General features: G+C 45.4%; 1 protein-coding gene and 2 long non-coding RNA genes across 3 annotated transcripts in view, besides 4 other annotated features; 1 reads left to right on the top strand and 2 right to left on the bottom strand.

Moving 5' to 3' along the window:
- Positions 2950–3450: an enhancer, noted in NCBI's record as "H3K4me1 hESC enhancer chr21:40704110-40704610 (GRCh37/hg19 assembly coordinates)". NCBI's record gives its function as "activates a minimal SCP1, AML or CMV promoter by ChIP-STARR-seq in primed H9 embryonic stem cells {active_cell/tissue: H9 hESC(primed)}" and the evidence as "EXISTENCE:reporter gene assay evidence [ECO:0000049][PMID:30033119]".
- BRWD1-AS1 (BRWD1 antisense RNA 1) lies at positions 12416–19927 on the bottom strand. Its single transcript, NR_046655.1, has 3 exons — positions 19819–19927; positions 18425–18589; positions 12416–12832 (listed from the first exon to the last, which is right to left on the bottom strand). It is a non-coding gene; the product is annotated as a BRWD1 antisense RNA 1 (long non-coding RNA).
- The window catches only part of BRWD1 (bromodomain and WD repeat domain containing 1), a 137037-nt gene continuing 129719 nt past the window's right edge, over positions 14422–21739 (top strand). Inside the window, exon 1 of the mRNA XM_017028373.2 lies at positions 14422–14608. The gene's annotated coding sequence lies outside the window, so the exon portion shown is untranslated. The remainder of the gene's footprint in view (positions 14609–21739) is intronic.
- Positions 19819–20513: an enhancer, noted in NCBI's record as "H3K4me1 hESC enhancer chr21:40687047-40687741 (GRCh37/hg19 assembly coordinates)". NCBI's record gives its function as "activates a minimal SCP1, AML or CMV promoter by ChIP-STARR-seq in primed H9 embryonic stem cells {active_cell/tissue: H9 hESC(primed)}" and the evidence as "EXISTENCE:reporter gene assay evidence [ECO:0000049][PMID:30033119]".
- Positions 20514–21209: an enhancer, noted in NCBI's record as "NANOG-H3K27ac-H3K4me1 hESC enhancer chr21:40686351-40687046 (GRCh37/hg19 assembly coordinates)". NCBI's record gives its function as "activates a minimal SCP1, AML or CMV promoter by ChIP-STARR-seq in primed H9 embryonic stem cells {active_cell/tissue: H9 hESC(primed)}" and the evidence as "EXISTENCE:reporter gene assay evidence [ECO:0000049][PMID:30033119]".
- BRWD1-AS2 (BRWD1 antisense RNA 2) lies at positions 20719–21727 on the bottom strand. The gene has a single exon (NR_111942.1). It is a non-coding gene; the product is annotated as a BRWD1 antisense RNA 2 (long non-coding RNA).
- Positions 21519–21688: a silencer, noted in NCBI's record as "silent region_13326". NCBI's record gives its function as "represses an Ori minimal core promoter by ATAC-STARR-seq in GM12878 lymphoblastoid cells {active_cell/tissue: GM12878}" and the evidence as "EXISTENCE:reporter gene assay evidence [ECO:0000049][PMID:35858748]".

The raw sequence follows: 21739 nt of genomic DNA, 5'->3' as shown, positions 1-21739 counted from the left end.
TGGCATGAACCCGGGAGGTGGAACTTGCAGTGAGCCGAGATCCTGCCACTGCACTCCAGCTTGGGCGACAGAGCGAGACTCCGTCTCAAAAAAAAAAAAAAAAAAAAGAGCATTTTTCTCTTCCAAGAAAAATATAAGATGTGACTGAAGTCTTTGACATAAAAAAGATCAGAACAAATGAGAAACACACAATGTTCCTAAAGAAAAGTTAATATTTATTTTTATTTTTATAGTATTATTATTATTTTGCAACGGAGTCTCGCTCTGTCACCAGACTGGAGTGCAGTGGCGCGATCTCGGTTCACTGCAACCTCTGTCTCCCAGGTTCAAGTGATTCTCCTGCCTCAGCCTCCCAAGTAGCTGGGATTACAGGTACTTGCCACCACACCTGGCTACTTTTTGTATTTTTAGTAGACACGGGGTTTCGCCATGTTGGTCAGGCTGGTCTCAAACTCCTGACCTCGTGATTCGCCTGCCTCGGCCTCTGAAAGTGCTGGAATTACAGGCATGAGCCACCTCGCCTGGCCCTATATATTTTTTTAATCTTTGTAAATTCAGGGAGTACATGTGCAGATTTGTTACAGGAATGTACTGGGTAATGGTGAGGTTTAGGCTTCTAGTGTGTGCCCATCACCAGAACAGTGGATGTTATACCTGTTGTGCCCTCCCCTCTTTTGGTGTCCCCAGTGTCCATATGTACCCAAGTTTGGCTCCCACTTATAAGTGAGAACACGAATTATTTGATTTTCTGTTTCTGAGTTATTTCACTTAGGATAATGGACACCAGCTTCATCCACGTTGCTGCAAAAGACATGATTTCATCCTTTTTTATGGCTGTGCAATATTCCACAATGTATGTGTACCACATTTTCTTTATCCAGACATCTGCTGATGGGCACTTAGGTTGATTCCATGACTCTGCTATTGGGAAAGGAGTAACGATTTGAGGGTGTCCGTTTTTTTCTGTGTAAGATGTAATGCAATACCAATCACAATCCCAGTAGAATTTCCATTGGAAATAGGAAAAATTGTGAGACTAGCCAAAAATTTAATATACAATAAAGGTAGCATTTCAGCTTGTTGAGGAAGAGACCACTCAAAAAAGTTTCAGGTCGGGCACGGCAGCTCATGCCTGTAATTCCAGCACTTTGGGAGGTTGAGGCAGGTGGCTCACCTGAGGTCAGGAGTTCGAGACCAGCCTGATCAACATGGTGACACCCTATCTCTACTAAAAATACAAAAATTAGCCGAGCATGGTGGTGTCCACCTGTAATCCCAGCTACGGGGGAGGCTGAGGCAGGAGAATTGCTTGAACCCGGGAGGCAGAGGTTGCAGTGAGCCGAGATCGTGCCATTGCACTCCAGCCTGGGCAACAAGAGTGAAACTCTGTCTGGAAAAAATAAAATAAAATAAAATGTTTCAGTTCAATTGGATATTCATTTTGGAAAATATAAATTAGTTCTCTACTTCACACCACACATAGAAATAAATTCCAGACAGATTTAACAATCCAAATGTAGAAAAACTCTAAAAGCACCAGAGGAAAGTATAGGAGAATAGTTTTATGATTATGAATTGAAGAAGGCCTTCTTTCCTCTGCCAGATAATAAATTCAGAAGCCATAAAGAAAAGGTAGGAGTATTTGACCTCATAACAATTTAAACTTTTATATGGTTTGTTTCTATTTTAGAGAATGGGGTCTTACTCTGTCACCCAGGCTGGAGTACAGTGGGGCAATCATATAGCTCAATACAGTCTCCAATTCCTGGGCTTAAGGAGCCTCAGCCTCTTTCATCCCCAGTAGCTAGGACTAATGGTGCTCACCTGGCTTGATATGATCTTATGTAAACAAATACCTGAGAAATGTTAGATTGGGAGAAAATTTTTGTGACACACATAACAAAGGGCTAGATGTCAAACTATAGAAAGAATTCCTGTCGTCGACCAGGCGCTGTGGCTCACGCCTGTAATCCCAGCACTTTGGGAGGCCGAGGCAGGCGGATCACCTGAGGTCAGGAGTTTGAGACCAGCCTGACCAACATGGAGAAACCCCCGTCTCTACTAAAAATACAAAAATTAGCTGGGCGTGGTGGCAGATGCCTGTAATCCCAGCTACTCAGGAGGCTGAGGCTGGAGAATTGCTTGAACCTGGGAGGTGGAGATTGCAGTGAGCAGAGATCGTACCATTGCACTCCAGCCTGGGCAGAGAAGAGCAAAACTCCATCTCAAAAAAAAAAAAAAAAAGAATTCCTATCGTCAATATGAAAAAGAAAAAATCCAATAGAAATATGACCATCAATATGAAAAAAACCAATAGAAATATTAGCAAATGATATGAAAAGATAATTCACAAAAGAAATATAAATATAAATCCCAATATTTTTGGAGGCCAAGGCGAGAGGATTGCTTGAGCCCAAGAGTTTGAGAATAGCCTGAACAACATGGTGAGATCCCCCCATATCTATGTTTTGAAAAATTTAAATAAATATTTTTCTATTGTGGTAAAATATACATAAAATAAATTGTACCATTTTGGCAGGGCATGGTGGCTCACGCCTATAATCCCGGCACTTTGGGAGGCTGAGGCGGGAGGATCACACAAGGCCAGGAGTTTGAGAGCACCCTGGGTAACATGGCAAAACCCCATCTCTACTAAAAATACAACAATTAGCTGGGTGTGGTGGCAGGCGCGTGTAATCCTAGCTACTCTAGAGGCTGACACACAAGAATTGCTTGAACCCAAGAGGCAGAGGTTGCAGTGAGCCGAGATCATATGTCTGCACTCAAGCCTAGGCGACAGAGCGAGACTGTCTCAAAAATAAAAAAGTTTTAAAAGTACCATTTTAGCCATTTTCAAGTGTGCAGTTAATTGGCATTAAGTACATTTACATTTTGTACAACCATCACCACTATCCATCTCCAGAAGCTCGGGGAGGCTGAGGCAGGAGAATCGCTTGAACCCGGGAGGCAGAGGCTGTAGTGAGCCAAGATCGCACCTTTGCACCCCAGCCTGGGCGACAGAGTGAGACTTCATCTCAAAAAACAAATAAAAACAAAACAAAACAAAACAAATGTGGGGTACTTGGCATGAATGGCAGGCAGGGAAGGGAGAAAGCAGGTGCGGGTACTACGTGACTCATTTCAGTGTCTTATCTACCGGGTGGTCTAGCTGGCGCCATTGGGCAGAGCTAGGTTGTAAAGTAGCCATTGTCTCGAGATGCTCTCCAGGTGGGAGACGGTTCTGTTGCAGGCACATGTTACGTTGTAAATTGACTGTTGTCTCTCAAGGCAATCTCCCAGTGGGAGAAAGTTCCTGCTCTGGAGCTTCTAAGTAAGCACACAGTTAGATAAGCTCGCCCTGTAGGGAGTGTCTGGTGAAGGGAAGGTCAAGGTTATAACTGCATTCCTAAAGACATAAGTAGGAAGTGGGGAACAGGGGAAAAGGAGGAAAGAGAAAAGAAAATAACATTTTAAAAATAACTCATGTTCTTTATCAGAAAAATGGGGGTACTCTGTTACATCACTAATCTGCTGATAATTTGCAAGGTTTCTAAAAAACATTTTTCAGTCAACTCTTGACAATCCATGCCTTTGCAGGCAAGGGGAACAGTATGTCACAAAAAAAGTTTGTAATTAAACCGCAATGTGGCCTCTGCATTTGAATATGGACATCTCACTGTCGGCTGAGTAGCAACTCCTTTTGGATTAAAGGTTCTAGGAAAAGATCTTCAAGTTGCCAAAAAAATGTTGTAAAGGATGAATTGGGAGGCATTCAAGGAGATGGAGGCCACTAGACAAGAATCTGTTGCAATCCCTTGCTGTCATATGCTCACTCTCTCTCCTTTACTCTTTCCTAAATCCCTCCAAGAAATTCCCTTTTTTTTAACCGACAAAAAGCTCTGGGCCGGGTGCGGTGGCTCACACTTGTAATACCAGCACTTTGGGAGGCCGAGGCGGGCAGATCACGAGGTCAGGAGTTCGAGACCAGCCTGGCCAACACAGTGAAACCCCGTCTGTACTAAAAATACAAAAATTAGCTGGATGTGGTGGTGGGCACCTGTAATCCCAGCTACTCGGGAGGCTGAGGCAGGAGAATGGCGTGAACCCGGGAGGCAAAGGTTGCAGTGAGCCAAGATAGTGCCACTGCACACCAGCCTGGGCGACAGAGCTAGACTCTGTCTCCTCTCCAAAAAAAAAAAAAAAAAAAGCTCTGAACTGGCTTCACATGGCTGAGGATGACATGACTTGAGGCTTTTGATCTCCAAAGATTCTTTCTTTTTTTTTTTTTTTGAGATAGAGTCTTGCTCTTGTCACCCAGGTTGGAGTACAATGATGCAATCTCAGCTCACTGCAACCTCACTCTCCCAGGTTCCAGTGATTCTCCTGCCTCAGCTTCTGGAGTAGCTGGAATTACAGGCATCCGCCACCACACCTGGCTAATTTTTTGTGCATTTTTAGTAGAGATGGGGTTTCACTATGTTGGCCAGGCTGGTCTCAAACTCCTGAAATTAAGTGATTCATCCACTTTGGCCTCCCAAAGTGCTGGGATTACAGGTGTGAGCCACTGTGCCTGGCCAAAAGATCCTTTTTTAAATAGAGACACCAGCTAGATTTTACAATTTGTTTTTACTATAGTGGCTTTGTTCCATATATTTCTATCCATCTGCCCATTCCTCATCAATTCACCTATTATTATTATTATTTTTTGAGGAGTCTCGCTCTGTTGCCCAGGCTGGAGTGCAGTGGTGCAATCTCGGCTTACTGCAACCTCTGCCTCCCAGGTTCAAGTGATTCTCCTGCCTCAGCCTCCCGAGTAGCTGGGATTACAGGCACCCACCACCACGTCCAGCTAATGTTCGTATTTTTAGTAGAGACAGGGTTTCACCATCTTGGCCAGGCTGGTCTTGAACTCTTGACCTCATGATCCACCTGCCTTGGCCTCTCAAAGTGCTGGGATTACAAGCGTGAGCCACCGCACCCGGCCCACCTTATTTTTCATTTATTTATCTATTTAATTTTGACATGGAGTCTCACTCTGTCACCCAGGCTGGAGTGCAATGGTGAGATCTTGGCTCACTGCAACCTCCACCTCCCAGGTTCTAGCAATCCTCCTGCCTCAGCCTCCCAAGTAGCTGGGATTACAGGCATCCGCCACCATGCCCAGCTAATTTTTGTATTTTTAGTAGAGACGGGGTTTTCACCATATTGGTCAGGCTGGTCTCAAACTCCTGACCTCAGGTGATCTACCCACCTCAGCATCCCAAAGTGCTGGGATTACAAGGGTGAGCCACTGTGCCTGGCCTATTTTTCATTTATTTTAAAGTAAATCGCAGGCATCAGTACACTTCCCCCTAATAATTCAGCATACACATTATTATTTAAAGCTCGATATTTGTTTATGGTTCTATTTTTTTTCCTTCAGATGTAAAATTTGCATTTGATAAAATGTAAAATCTCAAGCTTCCTGTTTGATAAGATGCACCTGTGGCCGGGCGTGGTAGCTCATGCCTGTAATCCTAGCACTTTGGGAGGCCAAGTCGAGCAGATTACTTGAGGTCAGCAGTTCCAGACCAGCCTGGCCAACATGGCGAAACCCCATCTCTATTAAAAATACAAAAATTAGCCAGGTGTGGTGGGGCATGCCTGTAACCAGCTACTCGGGAGGCTGAGGCAGGAGAATCACTTGAACCCAGGAGGCGGAGGTTGCAGTGAGCTGTGATTGTGTCACTACACTCCAGCCTGGGCAGGAGTGAGACTCTGTCTCAAAAAAAAAAAAAAAAGATGCACCTGTGTACCCAACACCTCATCAAGATAAACTGCCATCACCCTCAGAAGGTCTCCCATGCCCCTACCCACTCGATTCTTGCCCCCATCCCTTGTGGCTTCACGTTTTCCCACCATAGATTAGTTGTGCCTGTTCTAGTCGGGTCTGCATATAGATGGAATCATGATGCAGTGTGTACTCTTCTTTCACTCAGAAGAATGTTTCTGAGACTCACTTATGCCATTTGCTTGCATCAGTGGCTCATTCCTTTTCATTGGTGAATATGCCACAACTTGTTTATCCATTCTCCTATTGATGGATATCTCGGCTGGGGTGTTTTTTTTTTTTTTTTTGGCTATTAGAAATAAAGCTGCAATGAACACTACATTCTGGTACAAAGAGGTTTTTTTGTGAATATGTTTTTATTTCTCTTGGATAAATATGGCACAATTTTGAGCTCCTGAGTTAACATAATTATGGACAAAATTGGACATGGCATATTTTGATGGAAAGTTAAAAATTTGGCTACTATTAATACAAACTATTTGTTATAGCCAAAAAACCAAGAAAGATGATCTTTTTCCAAGCAAGACCAGCATGAATGCATGAACACTGTGTTCCTATTATGGATCAGACACACTTGAGAACAGCCTGAGGTGAAACAGTGAGAATACACCTTCCCGACTAGATTGGAGGGACTTGTCTCCTCTTCCCACTTCTTCATCCTCAGAGCTTGGAACAGCCCTAGCACATAATAGACATTCAATAAACACTTGTTGAGTGAATTAAAGATCTGTGTACCAGTAACTCGAGCAGGCCTGGGAGAGACATAACCTAAATGACGTATTTTAGGAACACCTATCCAAACATGTTTTTAGATCTTCTGGGCCCTAGACAGTGACTGAGACATTGAGATCTTGATCTAAGCATTCCAGAAGTTTTCAGAATCGACAGGGAAATTTGGCAGTACCTATTAAATTAAATGTGGTATTTCCTATGTCCTGGCAATGCCATTCTTCAGTGTTTACCCTAAAGAAGTACAAGAGTTCAAGGAGACACAGACAAAGATGTTAATGGCAGAATTGTTTGTAATGATGGAAATTGAAAATAGTCAAATGTCTCTCAATTGGGGACTGATAAAATTGGCATCATCAACTTCTGCTTCCTAGGCCCAAGACCTCCTTTCCATTCACTATATCTTTAATGCTTTGGGGACTCCTTGGAAAAAAAACATGAAAATAAAAACTTGTACTCTCATTCTCAAGTGAATTCCACAAGAACTGTGAATGCCTTTCTTATAAATAAATCAAGAGGTTGTGACAAGTGGAGCATATTATGTATGTAAAATTCCAGGGAGCGATCTTGGTTTAAAAATCATGCCAGTGGCTGGGCGTGGTGACTTACGCCTATAATCCCAGCACTTTGGGAGACTGAGGTGGGCAGATCATCCGAGGTTGGGAGTTTGAGACCAGCCTGGCCAACATGGCGAAACCTCATCTCTACTAAAAATACAAAAAGTAGCCAGGTGTGGTGGCAAGTACCCGTAATCCCAGCTACTTGGGAGGCTGAGGCAGGAGAATCACTTGAACCTAGGAGGCAGAGGTTGCAGTGAGCCGAGATCACGCCATTGCACTCCAGCCTGGGCAACAGAGCAAGACTCCGTCTCAAAAAAAAAAAAGTATACCAGCTTGCTACTGGTTCAGTTTCACTACTAGAAAAACAGCTGTCCTGGGAATATACTTAATGCCACTGAATCATACACTAGAAATTGTTAAAATGGTAAATGTCTATGTTATGTATACTTAACCATAATAAAAAACAAGATCCGTTGCCTTGTCAATTAATCCTACCTAGAGCAAGGTGAGGTGGCTAGGTCATCTCTGACTGAGGAAAAGCACGAGATATCTCCCACTTTATTTAATTTTATTTATTTATTTATTTATTCATTTATTTATTTATTTATTAAGAGACAGGCTCTTGCTCTGTAGCAAAGGCCGGAGTGCAGTGGCGCGATCATAGCTCACTGCAGCCTTGAACTCCTAGCCTCAAGTCATCCTCCTGCCTCAGTCTCCCAAGGAGACTGGGATTAGAGGCGCATGTTACCATGCCCGGCTAAGTTTTAAAATGTTTTTGTAGAAACAGAGTTTTGGTAGGCTACCTAGGCTGACCTCAAACTCTTGGCCTCAAATGATCCTGCTGCCTCAGCCTCCCAAAATGCTGGGGTTGCAGGCATATACCATATGCCCATCTCTCCCACCTTTGATGGCACTCTTGGTTGTGGGCAAAGGCCTCTTTCCGTTATCTCAGAAACCTTCATACAGTATTCATTTTCATAATTGTAAAAACTAAAAAAAAAAAACAAAAAAAACCCAAAAAGCTAGAAACAACCCAGACATCCAACCACAAGAGAATGGATTAATACATTGTGGTCTTTGTACCCAGTGGCATATTAAACTACTTAAAAATGAATGAATCACAGCCATGCTCAACAGGAATGAACGTTTGAAACAATTCTGTATTGAGTGAGAAAATTTTGAGAAAAGATGCTTCCAACCCCTTCCCTGATCACACTCCGTCCTTTGCTCTGTGCTATGTTCCAACAGTCTGAATCCAACAGACTGCTGCACTAGGGTCTTCCTGCAGCTGAGCTCCAGCCAGATTCTCCCAACAGGAGACACCAGCAGGGCAAAAGAGAGCCTGGAGTATCTCTCCCCTGCTAGAGCTGTGCCGGCAGTGGCTGCACGGCTGTGGCTCCCAGTGGACCTCCTCAGCCAGTGACCTAGTGACCCAGCTCTCAGGGCACAGGTGTTCTCCCTGGCTCCATCAGGCCTAGGGTGGTCATGGCTTTCCACAGCTGCTCATCCCTGGGAGCTTCAATTGCACCTGGTTGGTTTCCTTAACTTTGGCCACAACTTGCAGTTTCTTCAATACAATCTCTTCCTTTGAAGCATAAGAATGAACTTTTGTTTTCAAGCTGACACAATCTACATATGAATGATCCCCAGTACAGTGGCACCATCATAGCTCACCGCAGCCTCGACCTCCCAGGCTCAAGTGATCCTCCTGTCTCAGCCTCCCGAGTAGCTGGCACTGCAGGTGCAGGTCACCAGCCTGGATACATTTTTTGTTTTGTTTTTAATTTTTTGTGTAGATGGGCTCTTGCTATGTTGCCCAGGTTGGTCTCCAAATCCTGACCTCAAGCAGTCCTCCTCCTGCCTTGCTCTCCCAATGCGCTGCAAATACAGGCTTGAGCCACTGCACCTAGCTGATTCCATTTTTACCAAACTCAAAACCAAGGAAGCTAAACAATGTTATAAGGGAATCCTACATATCTAGTAAAACTACTCATAAAAAGCAAAGCGAGATTCTGATATACATAAAGTTCAGGCCAGTGGATGCCTCTGGGGACCAGCAGGGGAGTGCTATAGAAAGGGCAGCTTCAGTCGGGCGAGTGGCTCACGCTTGTAATCCCAGCACTTTGGGAGGCGGAGGTGGGCAGATCACCTGAGGTCAGGAGTTCAAGACCAGCCTAGCCAACATGGTGAAACCCTGTCTCTACTAAAAATACAAAAATTAGCTGGGTGTGGTGGCACACACCTGTCATCCCAGCTACTTGGGAGGCTGAGGCATGAAAACTGCTTGAACCCAGGAGGCGGAGGTTGCAGTGAGCCAAGATCACGCCACTGCACTCCAGCCTGGGTGACTGAGCGAGACTCCGTCTCAAAAAACAAAAAACAAAAGAAAGGGCAGAAGGGCAGCTTCAATGATGTTGATGATGTTTTAATTCTTACATCAGATGCTGGCTTCAAAGCAATTTATTTTAATATTGAGTGTAATACCTTACATCTACATTACATATATTATTTTGGCCAGGAGTGGTGGCTCACACCTGTAATCCCAGCACTTTGGGAGGCAGAGGCTGGAGGATCACTTGAGGCCAAGAGTTTGAAACCAGACTGGTCAACATAGCAAGACCCCTTCTCCTCAAAAGAAAAATTAATAAATTAACCAGGTGTGGTGGCACACACTTGTAGCCCCAGCTGCTTGGGAGGCTGAGGTGGGAGGATGGCAAAAGCCCAGGAGTTTGAGGCTGCAAAGAGCTGTGATCACACCACTGCACTCTAGCCTAGGTGACAGAGCAAGACCGTCTCAAACAAACAAATAAAAAATAAATACATTACAAAATACTAAATACATTACAAAATAATACATGTAAAAAAATACATTACAAAATAATAAACAAAAACAAAATTAAAAATACATTACACATATGCTTTTATATGAATGAATTTTAAAAGTTAAAAAAGTATGAGGGGGTCCAGGCGCGGTGGCTTATGCCTATAATCCCAGTACTTTGGGAGGCCGAGATGGGTGGATCACCTGAGGTCAGGAGTTTGAGACCAGCCTGGCCAACATGGTGAAACCCCATCTCTGTTAAAATTACAAAAATTAGCCGGGCGTGGTGGTGGGCGCCTGCAATCCCAGCTACTCGGGAGGCTGAGGCAGGAGAATCACTTGAACCCAGGAGGTATAGGTTGTAGTGAGCCGAGATCAGCGAAACTCTGTCTCAAAAAAAAAAAAAAAAAAAAAAAACAATCTCACAAGCACAGGACTGAAATGAACCTCATAGCATAATGCTAGGCAATAAAGCATTTGGTAAAGCTGAGAGGCAGGAGAAAAGCCCTTTGACAAATCTCTAGGTTATTTGATTCCTGAAATTTCCAACTCATTGCTATTTTAAAGTCAGGTTTACCGAAGTGTAATTTACATACAATAAAATTCTCTCTTTTTAGTAAACAGGTCGATGAGTTTTGACAAACACATCGATGTCATCACAGTCAAGATATGGAATATTTCAATTACCCCAAAACATTATTTGAAACTACTTTGTACTCAGCCCCTCCTTCCACCTCCAGCCCCTGGCCAGCACTGGTCCGTTCTCTGTCCCTAGAGTTTCGCCTTTGTAAAAATGTCACGTATATGGAATGATTATGTGTGTAGCCTGCTGAGCCTGGCTTCTGTGACATAGCATGCTGCTTTTGAGAGTCATCCAAGTTGCTGTGTGTATCATGGGTTCATTCTATTATAGAGCAGCATTGCCTTATGTGGATGTACCACAATTTATTTATCCATTCACAAGTTAAAGAACATTTTGATTGCTTCCAATTTTTGATGATTTCATGACTAAGACCCTTACAAATAAATATTCATATATAGGTTTTTGTTAAAAGACGTATTTTCATATTTTCCCACTTAGAAGTGAACTATGTATGGGTCCTGTTTCATGTAGGAAATATGGGCCCACCTGTATGAGTGAAGTATATGTGAAACCCCGTCTGTACTAAAAATACAAAAATTAGCCAGGCTTGTAATCCCAGCTACTCGGGAGGCTGAGGCAGGAGAATCGCTTGAGCCCGGGAGGCAGAGGTTGCAGTGAGGCGAGATCGTGCCACTGTATTCCAGCCCAGCCAACAGAGCAAGACTCTGTCTCAAAAAAAAAAAAAAAAAAAAAAAAAAGAGAGAGAGATAAGGATCCACCTCCTGTGATCCAATTACCTCCCACCAGGCTCCACCTGCAACACTGGGGATTACAACTGAACATGAAATTTGGGTGGGAGGCTGGGTGCAGTGGCTCACACCTGTAATCCCAGCACTGTGGGAGGCTGAGGCAGGTGGATCACCTGAGGTCAGGAGCTGACCAACTCCTGAGCCTGACCAATATGGTGAAACCCCGTCTCTACTAAAAATACAAAATTAGCCAGGCGTGGTGGTGCATGTCTGTAATCCCAGCTACTCGGGAGGCTGAGGCAGGAGAATCGCTTGAACCCGGGAGGCGGAGGTTGCAGTGAGCTGAGATCGCGCCATTGCACTACAGCCTGGGCAACAAGAGTGAAACTCCATCTCAAAAAAAGAAAGAAAGAATGAAAGAAAGAAAGAAAGAAAAGAAAAACTAACTGTTGGGTACTATGCTCAGTACCTGGGTGATGGGATCATTCATACCCCAAACCTTAGAATCATGCAATATACTCAGGTAACAAACCTGCACATGTACCCCTGAACCTAAAATAAAAATTAAAAAAAGATTTGTGAATCTGGATTCTCAAGCCAAAAATCATCTTAATCTCATCTAATTACCAATATTCATATATTAACCTTTGGTGGCTTCAATATTTTAACTTTTTAAAAGCTTTTTAATTTTTATTTTTTGAGACAGGGTCTCTCTCAGTCGCCCAGGCTGGAGTGCAACGGCACAAGCTCGGTTCACTGCAACCTCCAGCTCCTGGGCTCAAGCTGTCCTCCCCACCTCAGCCTCCTGAGTGGGTGGGACTATAGGCACGCACCACCATGCCTGGCTAATTTTTGTATTTTTTGTAGAGGTGGGGTTTTTGTATGTGTTCCCAGGCTGGTCTCGAACTTCTGGACTCAAGTGATCCTCCCACCCTGGCTTCCCAGAGTGTTGAGATTACAGATGTGAGCCACTGTTCCTTGCCCTAATTTTTTAATGATAAGGTGGTTTTGTGTTGTAATCACAGCACTTTGGGAGGCTGAAGTGGGAGGACTGCTTGAGGCCAGGCGTTTGAGACCAGTGTAGGCAACACAGTAAGACCCTGTCTCTACAATTAAAAAAATAAAAATAAAAAATGTGGTTTTGTGTTAGACTATGGGTTTCTTCACCCTGCTCTTGGCCAGACTTACCCACAAGTGAAAAAGAGGGGCCAGGAAGCTTTCTCCAGGTGGAAAAGAGGGGTTATTGCTGCAATTAGGTGTTAAATGTCATGGCCAGAATAAGGGCAATCCTTGCCTTAGGTACCCAGATTGCATCTGCCCATTGCATAAGTCTCAAGGCCACAAGGGGACTATCTCCTGGTGGGGTGACCCAGTGACCTGAAGCTCTTCCTTCTTCCCCAGCCTCCTGCTTAGAATTTCTCTCCACGCTTCTGTCCTTTCTTCTGTAGCCTTCCTCTTGGGTCTGCTGGAATTTTTCCCTCCCTCACCACAGATCCGAAGTCTCACCTTGGGGGCAAGCAAGGCCGGTTTTGTCTCTTCATCTTTGGGATCAGCGAGACCCTGAGGAAACCAGAGGGTACTGAGCCAGTCTGAGAGAGAGGCTGGGGGAAGCCAGGGGTGACTGCTGTGTTCTGCGGGGGCTCAGGGAGATGGAGCCTGTGAAACAGGCTGCTGACAGTGGGTTGAAGCAGGCTGGCCACGGAGGGCACGGGGCACCTGGGAAATATATGGACACGATGCCCCGTTCCTGTAGCATGGGGATCCTCTCCTAAAGCAGCCTCCATTGCTCCTCCTGAAAGTGTTTCCTTCCACTCACCCTTCCGCTCCAGAGACTTTGACTATCCTGCTGCCTTTGAGGGGAGCCTTGAGCCAAGGAGGCCGTATCTCCAGGTATGTTATGGGTCAACGAGTTTCTGCAGATTGTCTTCTGATCTTTTTTTTGAGAGAGTCTCGCTCTGTCACCCAGGCTGGAGTGCAGTGGTGCGATCTGGGCTCACTGCAACCTCTGCCTCCCAAGTTCAAGTGATTCTCCTGCCTCATCCTCCTGAGTAGCTGGGATTACAGGTGCCTGTCACCAAGCTCGGCTAATTTTTTTTTGTATTTTTAGTGGAGACAGGAGTTTCACCATGTGGTCAGGCTGGTCTTGAACTCCTGACCTCAAGTGATCGGCCCGCCTCGGCCTCTCAAAGTGCTGGGATTACAGGTGTGAGCCACCGCGCCCAGGCTTGTCTTCAGATCTAACCACCACAGTGGCTGAAAGATTTGAGGAAATGTTGAAAGCATAACTATCTCATATTTGAGGGACTGTCTAGTTGAGCAATTTTTCATTAAACATCCAACAAATATTTATTGCATACCTACCATAAGTATGTCAGGACTCATCATAGCCCTGCAGATGTGTCAGAGAGCAAAACAGACACAGATCTCTGTCTGCCTTCATAGAAGGTCAAGAGATAGACAATAAACAAAATAGACGGGGACATGTTACAGTAGGTTAGAAGATCAACAGTGCTATGGAGGAAAAGAACACAGGAAGAGTAAAAGAGAAATGGGCACAGAGTGAGGATAAGTTTAAATTGTACTTAGGGTGGTTAGGGAAGGTCTCACTGAAAATGTGACATTTGAGCCAAGACTTGAAGGAGGGGAGGGACTCAGCCATGCAGTTTTTCCAGGAGAAGAGCATTCCTGCAGAACAAACAGCAAGTACAAATACCCTGAGGCAGCCGTGGGCCAGGTCACGCCACAGTGAGGCTGGAGCACTATGAGAAGGGGAGCAGTCAGGTGAGAGGTAAGACAAACCAGAGAGAGGCCAGATCGTGTGGACTTGGCCTTTTCCTCTGGGTCTGATGGGAGCCTCTGGAGGATTTTGAGAGAGGAAGGACAAGTCCGTCTTTAGTTTGTTTTTTTTTTTTTCTTGAGATGGAGTTTCGCTCTCGTTGCCCAGGCTGGAGTACAATGGCTCGATCTCGGCTCACTGCAACCTCCACCTCCTGGGTTCAGGCAATTCTCCTGCCTCAGCCTCCTGAGTAGCTGGGATTACAAGCACACGCCACCATACCCGGCTAATTTTTGTATTTTTAGTAGAGACAGGGTTTCACTGTGTTGGTCAGGCTGGTCTCAAACTCCTGACCTCAGGTAATCCACCTGCCCCGGCCTCCCAAAGTGCTGGGATTACAGGCATGAGCCACTACGCCTGGCCCTGTCTTAAGTTTTAACAGGATCCCTCCAGCTGCCTGAGAATACACAGAAATAGGATGAAGGTAGAAGCAGTAAGACATAAGAGGTTGTGGTGCTCTTCCGGATGAGAAGTGCTTAGATTCTGGATACATTTTGAAGGTAAGCTAATTGGATGGTTTACTGATGAGTTGCATGTATGATATAAAAGTTATGACTCTGGCCAGGCATGTGGCTCACGCCTGTAATCCCAGCACTTTGGGAGGCCAAAGCAAGTGGATCACCTGAGGTCAGGAGTTCGAGACCAGCCTGGCCAACATGGTAAAACCCTGTCTTTACTAAAAATACAAAAATTAGCTGGATGTGGTGGTGTGCACCTGTAGTCCCAGCTACTGGGGAGGCTGAGGCAGAATTGCTTGAACCTGGGAGGCGGAGGGTGTAGTGAGCCGAGATCATGCCATTGCACTCCAGCCTGGGCAAGAGAGCAAGATTCTGTCTCAAAAAAAAAAAAAAAAAAAAAGATATGACTCTAAGGTTTTTGAAAAGAGATTAACGGCTTGGGTATGGTAGTCACACCTATAATCCTAGCACTTTGGGAAGCTGAGCCAGAGGATTGCTTGAGCCCAGGAGTTCGAGACCAACCTGGACAACATGGTGAATCCCCGTCTGTAGAAAAAATGCAAAAACTAGCCAGTTGTGGTGGTGGGTGCCTGTAGTCCCAGTTACCTGGGAGGCAGAGGTGGGAGGATCAATTGTGCCTGAAAGATCGAGGCTGCAGTGAGACGTGATTGCACTACTGCACTCCACCCTGGATGACAGACTGAGACACTGTTTCAACAAGAAAAAAAAGGGAAGCCCAACTCCTTAAGGGGCAGGGGAGGCAGTGGTCTTAAAGCCCAGAGAGGGTCTCTATGTGCAAAGAGAGGGTCTCTATATGCACACAAATAGCAGTTACTATCAACCTGTGGCTTGGCAGGAAAGGAGCTGGGAAAATGGAAACTCCAACCTCACTCTCCTCCCACCCTTCCATCTCTGGCTGAGGCCTCTTACCAGATGAATCCCATTGGAAACTCAAGGGCAAGCGAGCCATGGCTTTACTGCACAGTCATCTTTCCTGGGTGTGGAGCAGGGAGGGAGGAGAGTAGAATGTCCTCCACAGTGTTAAAAGCAAGCCAAGGAGTTTGGGTTTGAGGTGACAGCGAATGAGAAAGACGTGAACAGGGAAGCAATATGTTAAGTTGCACTTAAGGTTTTTAAAAGTAGTGACAGGATTATCTCCAAAGAAGATACAGAAGTGGCAAAGAAAATAAAAATAAATAAATGAAAAGAAAAAAATAAAATGACAGGATTAATTAGGTGGAGAGTCAGGGAGAACTTTAAGGAGGATGCTTGTTGATGATTGAGGGCCTGAACTAAGTGGGAATGGAGAGAAAAAGAATTATTCTTATATAACAGGGTCATGTTGAGAGCTGGGCATTGTTCAGCGAGCTTCACAGGCATGCTCTCTGGAAATGCTCACAAACACCTCTAGCTGTCTCATGATCCTTAAATAATGCATGGAAATGATTTAGGACAGTGTCCAGCATACAAACATATCCAATAAATGTTATTAGTTGTCATGCTTATTTTAAAGATTATTAAACAAAACGAACAGAAAAATATCCGAGCCAAGAGGTTGCCCAACTCCGACATCCAAACACAGACACATTCTGATCCCAGCTCCCATGTTCCCAAGGTCTTGTCCAACCACACTGTGTTTTCTCTAGTGCTGTGAGAAATGTTTCAAAGTAAGAACGAGTAAGACTTGGAGACAGACATGGGCCAGCGCCTGCAAGCTGGGAACAAATAGGACAGAAGCCAATGGCAAGGGAGAGGCAGAAGTTGGAGAGGGAAGAGATAAATGTGGAAACAATTTGCTGAGGAAGGCAGGGACAAGTAGCATTAAGGGGACAGCTGGTTGGGTTAGACTTAAAAGGAAGAAAAGGTCCTGTGGGAAAGATGACACCACTAGTAGGTGGAGGAAGGGCATCAGGAATTAAATGCAATATAATATCTACTAGTGACTAAGGGCTTATCAAAAGATCAGATACCTTCTTCATTTTTACTTTGAAAGTCCTCCAAAAATCGATCAAAGTCCAGGTGTGGTGGCTCACGCCTGTAATCCCAGCACTTTGGAAGGCCAAGACAGGAGGGTCACTTAAGGCCAGGCAATGCAGTGAGACCCTGTCTCTAAAAAATAAATAAATAAATAAAATCTATCGAAGTGTTAACTCTCCTCTTCCTAGGGAATTTATCCAACAGAAGTCCAGGAAGATCAAGGCGGGAGGATCACTTGAGGCCAGGAGTTTGAGACCAGCCTGGGCAACAGAGCAAGACCCGCATCTCTAAAAAACAGTAAAAAATTAGCCAGGCATGGTGGTGCACACCTGTAGTCTCAAGTACTCAGCGGTAGGACTGCGAGGCTGCAGTGAGCTCTGACTGTACCACTGCACTCCTGCCTGTGTGACAGAATGACATACTGTCTCTAAAGCGGAAAAAAACAAAACAAAAAACAGCCCAGGAGCCAGGGAAGACTTTTAACACATATTTTGTTGAATGAATGAATGAAGTGATCCAGGTTTTTGTGTGCATTTAATTTCACCTCTAGGTGCTGATCCAGTTTGTGGTATAGTGTTCTGGAGGTCCAACGTCATCTACTTCCTGCCCTTCAGAGGTATGCTGATGTTGTGTGTACATCAACATCAGCACAGCCTCCTGAATGAACCTAAATTCAGTTAACACAAATTTGCATTAAAACTAATATTAGGCTTTGGATTAGGTATCTGAGTTGTTTTGCATGTTCTCCATTGCTCACAGATTTCCTTATCTCATTTTTCAGAGTCTTTTGAAATGGACTCTAATCTACTAATTCATTCCATTTTGACCACTCTCTTATGTGAATTGTTGGAACCAGACTTCTTTGGTCACCATTTTCTAGATATGCATTCATATTTAACGTTGTTGGGCTTCCTAAGTGGTGATTTGGAAGGCCTTACTGAATTTTATTTTCCTCTCATTCACAGACAGATTAAAAAAAAAAGCTTTCCATTTTTAGGCAAATTCTTAAACTTTATTAGCCTTAGTTCCTCATTCTTTTTTGAGACAGGGTCTCGCTCTGTTGCCCAGGCTGGAGCACAGTGGTACCACCATAGCTTGTGACAGCCTTAAACTCCTGGGCTCAAGTGATCTCCTGCCTCAGTCTCCCCAAATAGCTCAAACTACAGTCACCCAACACCATGCATGGACTAAGTTTTTAATTTTTTGTAGAGAGAGGGTCTCACTATGTTTAAGACCAGCCTTGAACTCCTGGGCTCATGCGGTCCTCCTGCCTTGGTCTTCCAAAGTGCTGATAGCACAGACGAGAGCCACTACGCCCAGACTAGTTTCCTCATTCTTAAAATGGGAATAACAGAATCTAAGAGTTGCCTGCGGTAAATGAGATTACACACGTACTTATCACGTGGGCTTCCAAATGTCAGCTCTCTGATGCGCTAGCTGTGCAATCCTGTGTAAGTCTCCTAATTTTCAGGTCCCATTTCCTCTTTTGTGAAACGTGGCCAAGGGAGAATGGACTTTGCAGTGTTTGTGTTTCAGTCTAAGATAATACTGTCTACTTGGGATTGCAGTCCAGCCACCACTTACCAGCTATATGCCCTTGGGCCATACTTCCTCTGCGCCTCAGCTTGAGCCTATCAATGACATCTAAGAGCTGTTTATCCAGTCAGGAGTTGCTTGCCACGGCATAAGATGTTGGTTCCCTTGAAAATGCAACCCTATAGCTTAATGTCACCCACTGTTAAGATTTTCCAACACTTGCTTACCATGTAGCTTTCTTGTGGTGAAACTCTAAAGTTATTTCCATTTACCCAAAAGCAAACCTCAGTGTGTACATATGGAATGGCTGGGATTGAATTGTGTGAGGAATACACAGATTCTTGCCTTGTTTGGAGACCACTTCTGGTGGGTACCCACTAAGGAGTTGCTCCTGGACAGTGTATTTCTTTTTCCTCCTCCTGGCAGGCAAATATGAGTCACATCTGAGTCTCTTGACATATGGGAGTCGAATCGGGAAGATATTCTCTCTCTTGTTAGAAATCTTTGTTCCTATTCAAAATTTAGAAAGAATATTTGTCATGAATGTGATAGTAAGTTGTAAAAGGACTCCCAAGGCTCTTGTAAAGGAAAACTCATGTCATCGTGTCTTTTTTTTGAGACAGGGTCTTGCTCTGCTGCCTAGGCTGGAGAGCAGTGCTGTGATCATGGGTCACTGCAGCGTCAATCCCCCCCGGCTCTAGCCATTCTCATGCCTCAGCCTCTTAAGTAGCTGGGGCTACAGGTACACACCTACCACCCCTGGCTATTTTTTATTTCTTGTAGAGATGGGGTCTTACTATGTTACTCAGGCTGGTCTCGAACTCCTGGGCTCAAGCAGTCCTCTGGCCTTGGCCTCCCAAAGCGCTGGGATTACAGGTGTGAGCCACTGTGTCTGGGCTCGTGTCATCATTTCTGATCTCTTGTAATGGTTATCATGGTGCCAGTATCAGAACGATAATTTTGGACAATGACCAGAGCTTGGGATATAAATTCTTGTAATATCTTTAGGGGGTTTTTAATCTTACGCCCTTGTTACAAAATGAAATGCACAACTCCTTGGTCAATCATTGAAAGTTTAAATTCTCCCCTCTTGATGTCTTTGTCATTTGGTAACACTGGTAATCTTGCAGCATCAGATCACTGTCCCACAGTCATCTATGCACTGTAACTTCAAATAATCAAGTTGTTGCAAGCAGTTACTCATCTTAACAATCTAGCTACCAGCCTGTATGCCCTACCTTATTTGTTGGCACAACCTTGGAAAGCCCCAAACGAGATTTTTGTGGTTTTTATTTCACCCCAACTTCATCTTGCAGATTTACTGTCCTACATACTTCTGATCTTGTCTCTTCTCTATCCTTATGACCAACGCCCTCATGCATCATTTCTTTTCTATTTCAGGGGTATGTTAAGTGCCTCTTGGTCTTAACTTTCTCAAATCCATCCTAAAATAGAAAATGATTCCTTCCTGGCTTAGAATCTTTCAATTGCTCCCAATTTCAACTTCTGACATCATGGTCCCATCCTCTCCAAAGTCACCCCAAGTAGTCATACTAAACTTCTGGTTCCTTAAACTAGAAATCATATTCATGTCTTGGCCCTCTGTTGTTTGTATGTGCGAAATCCCTTTCCACACATTGTAGCCTGGATAACCCAAACTTCCCTAACATTTCCCCCACGCACAGGCAAGCTGATCTTCTGATATATCTCTGCCCTAAATCGTGTCATTATTTGCTTACATCTGTTTCCCCTAAGAGACGCTGAAGTCTTTGATGGCAAAGCTGTGGCTCATTCCTTTTTTTTTTTTAATCTCCATCACTTGTTAGTGCTTGCTGAATTAACAGATGTAAGGAGTTAACTTACTGTTGCACTAGCTCAAACATATTTAGATTGTTACCTCACAAATAGCTTTTTTTTTTTGGAGACGGAGTCTCGCCTTGTCGCCCAGGCTGGAGTGCAGTGGCGCGATCTCGGTTCACTGCAGCCTCCGCCTCCGGGGTTCAAGCGATTCTCCTGCCTCAGCCTCTCAAGTAGCTGGGACTAGAGGCGCGCACTGCCACACCTGGCTAATTTTTTTATTTTTAGTAGAGACGGGGGTTTCACTATGTTGGCCAGGATGGTCTTGATTTCCTGACCTCGTGATCCGCCTGCCTCGGCCTCCCAAAGTGCTTGGGACTACAGGCGTGAGCCACCATACCCGACAGCCTCACAGATATCTATGTCCATTTATAAATATATATAAAAGCTTTTGGCCAGGCGCAGTGGCTCATGCATGTAATCCCCAGCACTTCGGGAGGCCAAGGCGGGTGGATCACCTGAGGCCAGGAGTTCGAGACCAGCCTGGCCAACATGGTGAAACCCGTCCCTACTAAAAATATAAAAATATAAAAATTAGCCGGACGTGGTGGCGCTTGCCTGCAATTCCAGCTACTCGGGAGGCTGAGGCACAAGAATCGCTGGAACCCGGGAGGCAGAGGTTGCAGTGAGGTGAGATCGCGCCACTGCACTCCAGCCTGAGAGCAAGACCCTGTCTCAAAATAAATAAAAGCTTTTGCTATTTGGTGTAAATAAAAGCCAACTTGTACACGGTGCTTACTGTATACCAGGAACACAAATTCATTAAATCCTCACAACTTTGAGACAGGCACAAATATTATCTGTTTACTAGTGAGGAATTACCTACGGTTTACTAGTAAGGAACACTGAGACCCACAGGTTGTGACTTGCTCAAGGTCAAGCTGGTGGAGCCAAGACAAGGTGCAGGCAGTGAGTCCTGCCCTAGAGTCTGACCCGAACCACATTTAACGTCTATGTGGTGTGTAGGTTATTGCCATGAGTAAGAATCAGAATTGTTAACGCGCATTCCAGGAAGGCAGGGACACCACTGAGTGTTACTGCTGTACTTTAGGGGCCAGAGCAGGGCAGGCTGGATGCGCGGAGGAAACTCATAGTTAGGTCAGAAGCCTGGCAAGACAAGGGAATTTTCTGGTCGTCGTCCACCTCTCCAACCTCACATCCTACTAGTCTTCCAAGAGGATTCTAACTGCACATGACTCCCTAGTTTCCGGCTTCTCTTCCTAAGGAGGGTCTGCGGCCCGTCTGCACCACCCTCTCCCCACAGTCCCGTTTTCCTGTCCATGCTTGGATGGATCCAGCCGAGCCGTCAGCCGCAGCTGCGCGCTGCTCCCCCGACTCGCACCCCCTCGGCGAAGCGCTGCATTTTATGTAATTTTCTGCCGGGCTGCTGGCTTGTGGGGGATGTGGCTGGGTCTCGGCAGCCTTCAGCGCCGCAGACGCTCCGGCAACGCCAGCATACGAGGCCCCCGCCCCAGGAGCGCGGGTCCGGGCGGCGTTCCCCTCTGCGGGAGGCGCGGCGAGCCAATCCTCACTTTAAAAGCTTTCCTGTCCTCGAAGCGAGGGGTCTTCCGTGCGGGGCAAGACGCACTGGCCCCAGACGACCGGTCCGTGAAATGACCCTTCCGAGCGACCCGGAGCGGGCGACCTTGCCCAACCCGCGACTCGGGGCCCCTGCGGTCCCGCGTAGAGGACCCAGGTCCCACGGGGGGCGGCGGTGAATCGCCCCCTCTTGTGGCCGCGCTTCCGCCCCCGGCACCCGCCCGCTGCTGGGCCACCCGGCGTCGCGCTGCCGCCTCACAAAGC

This window comes from Homo sapiens, chromosome 21, assembly GCF_000001405.40.
Source record: "Homo sapiens chromosome 21, GRCh38.p14 Primary Assembly".
Classification (NCBI taxonomy): Eukaryota; Metazoa; Chordata; class Mammalia; order Primates; family Hominidae; genus Homo; species Homo sapiens.
This window is presented reverse-complemented; position numbering and strand designations above follow the sequence as displayed.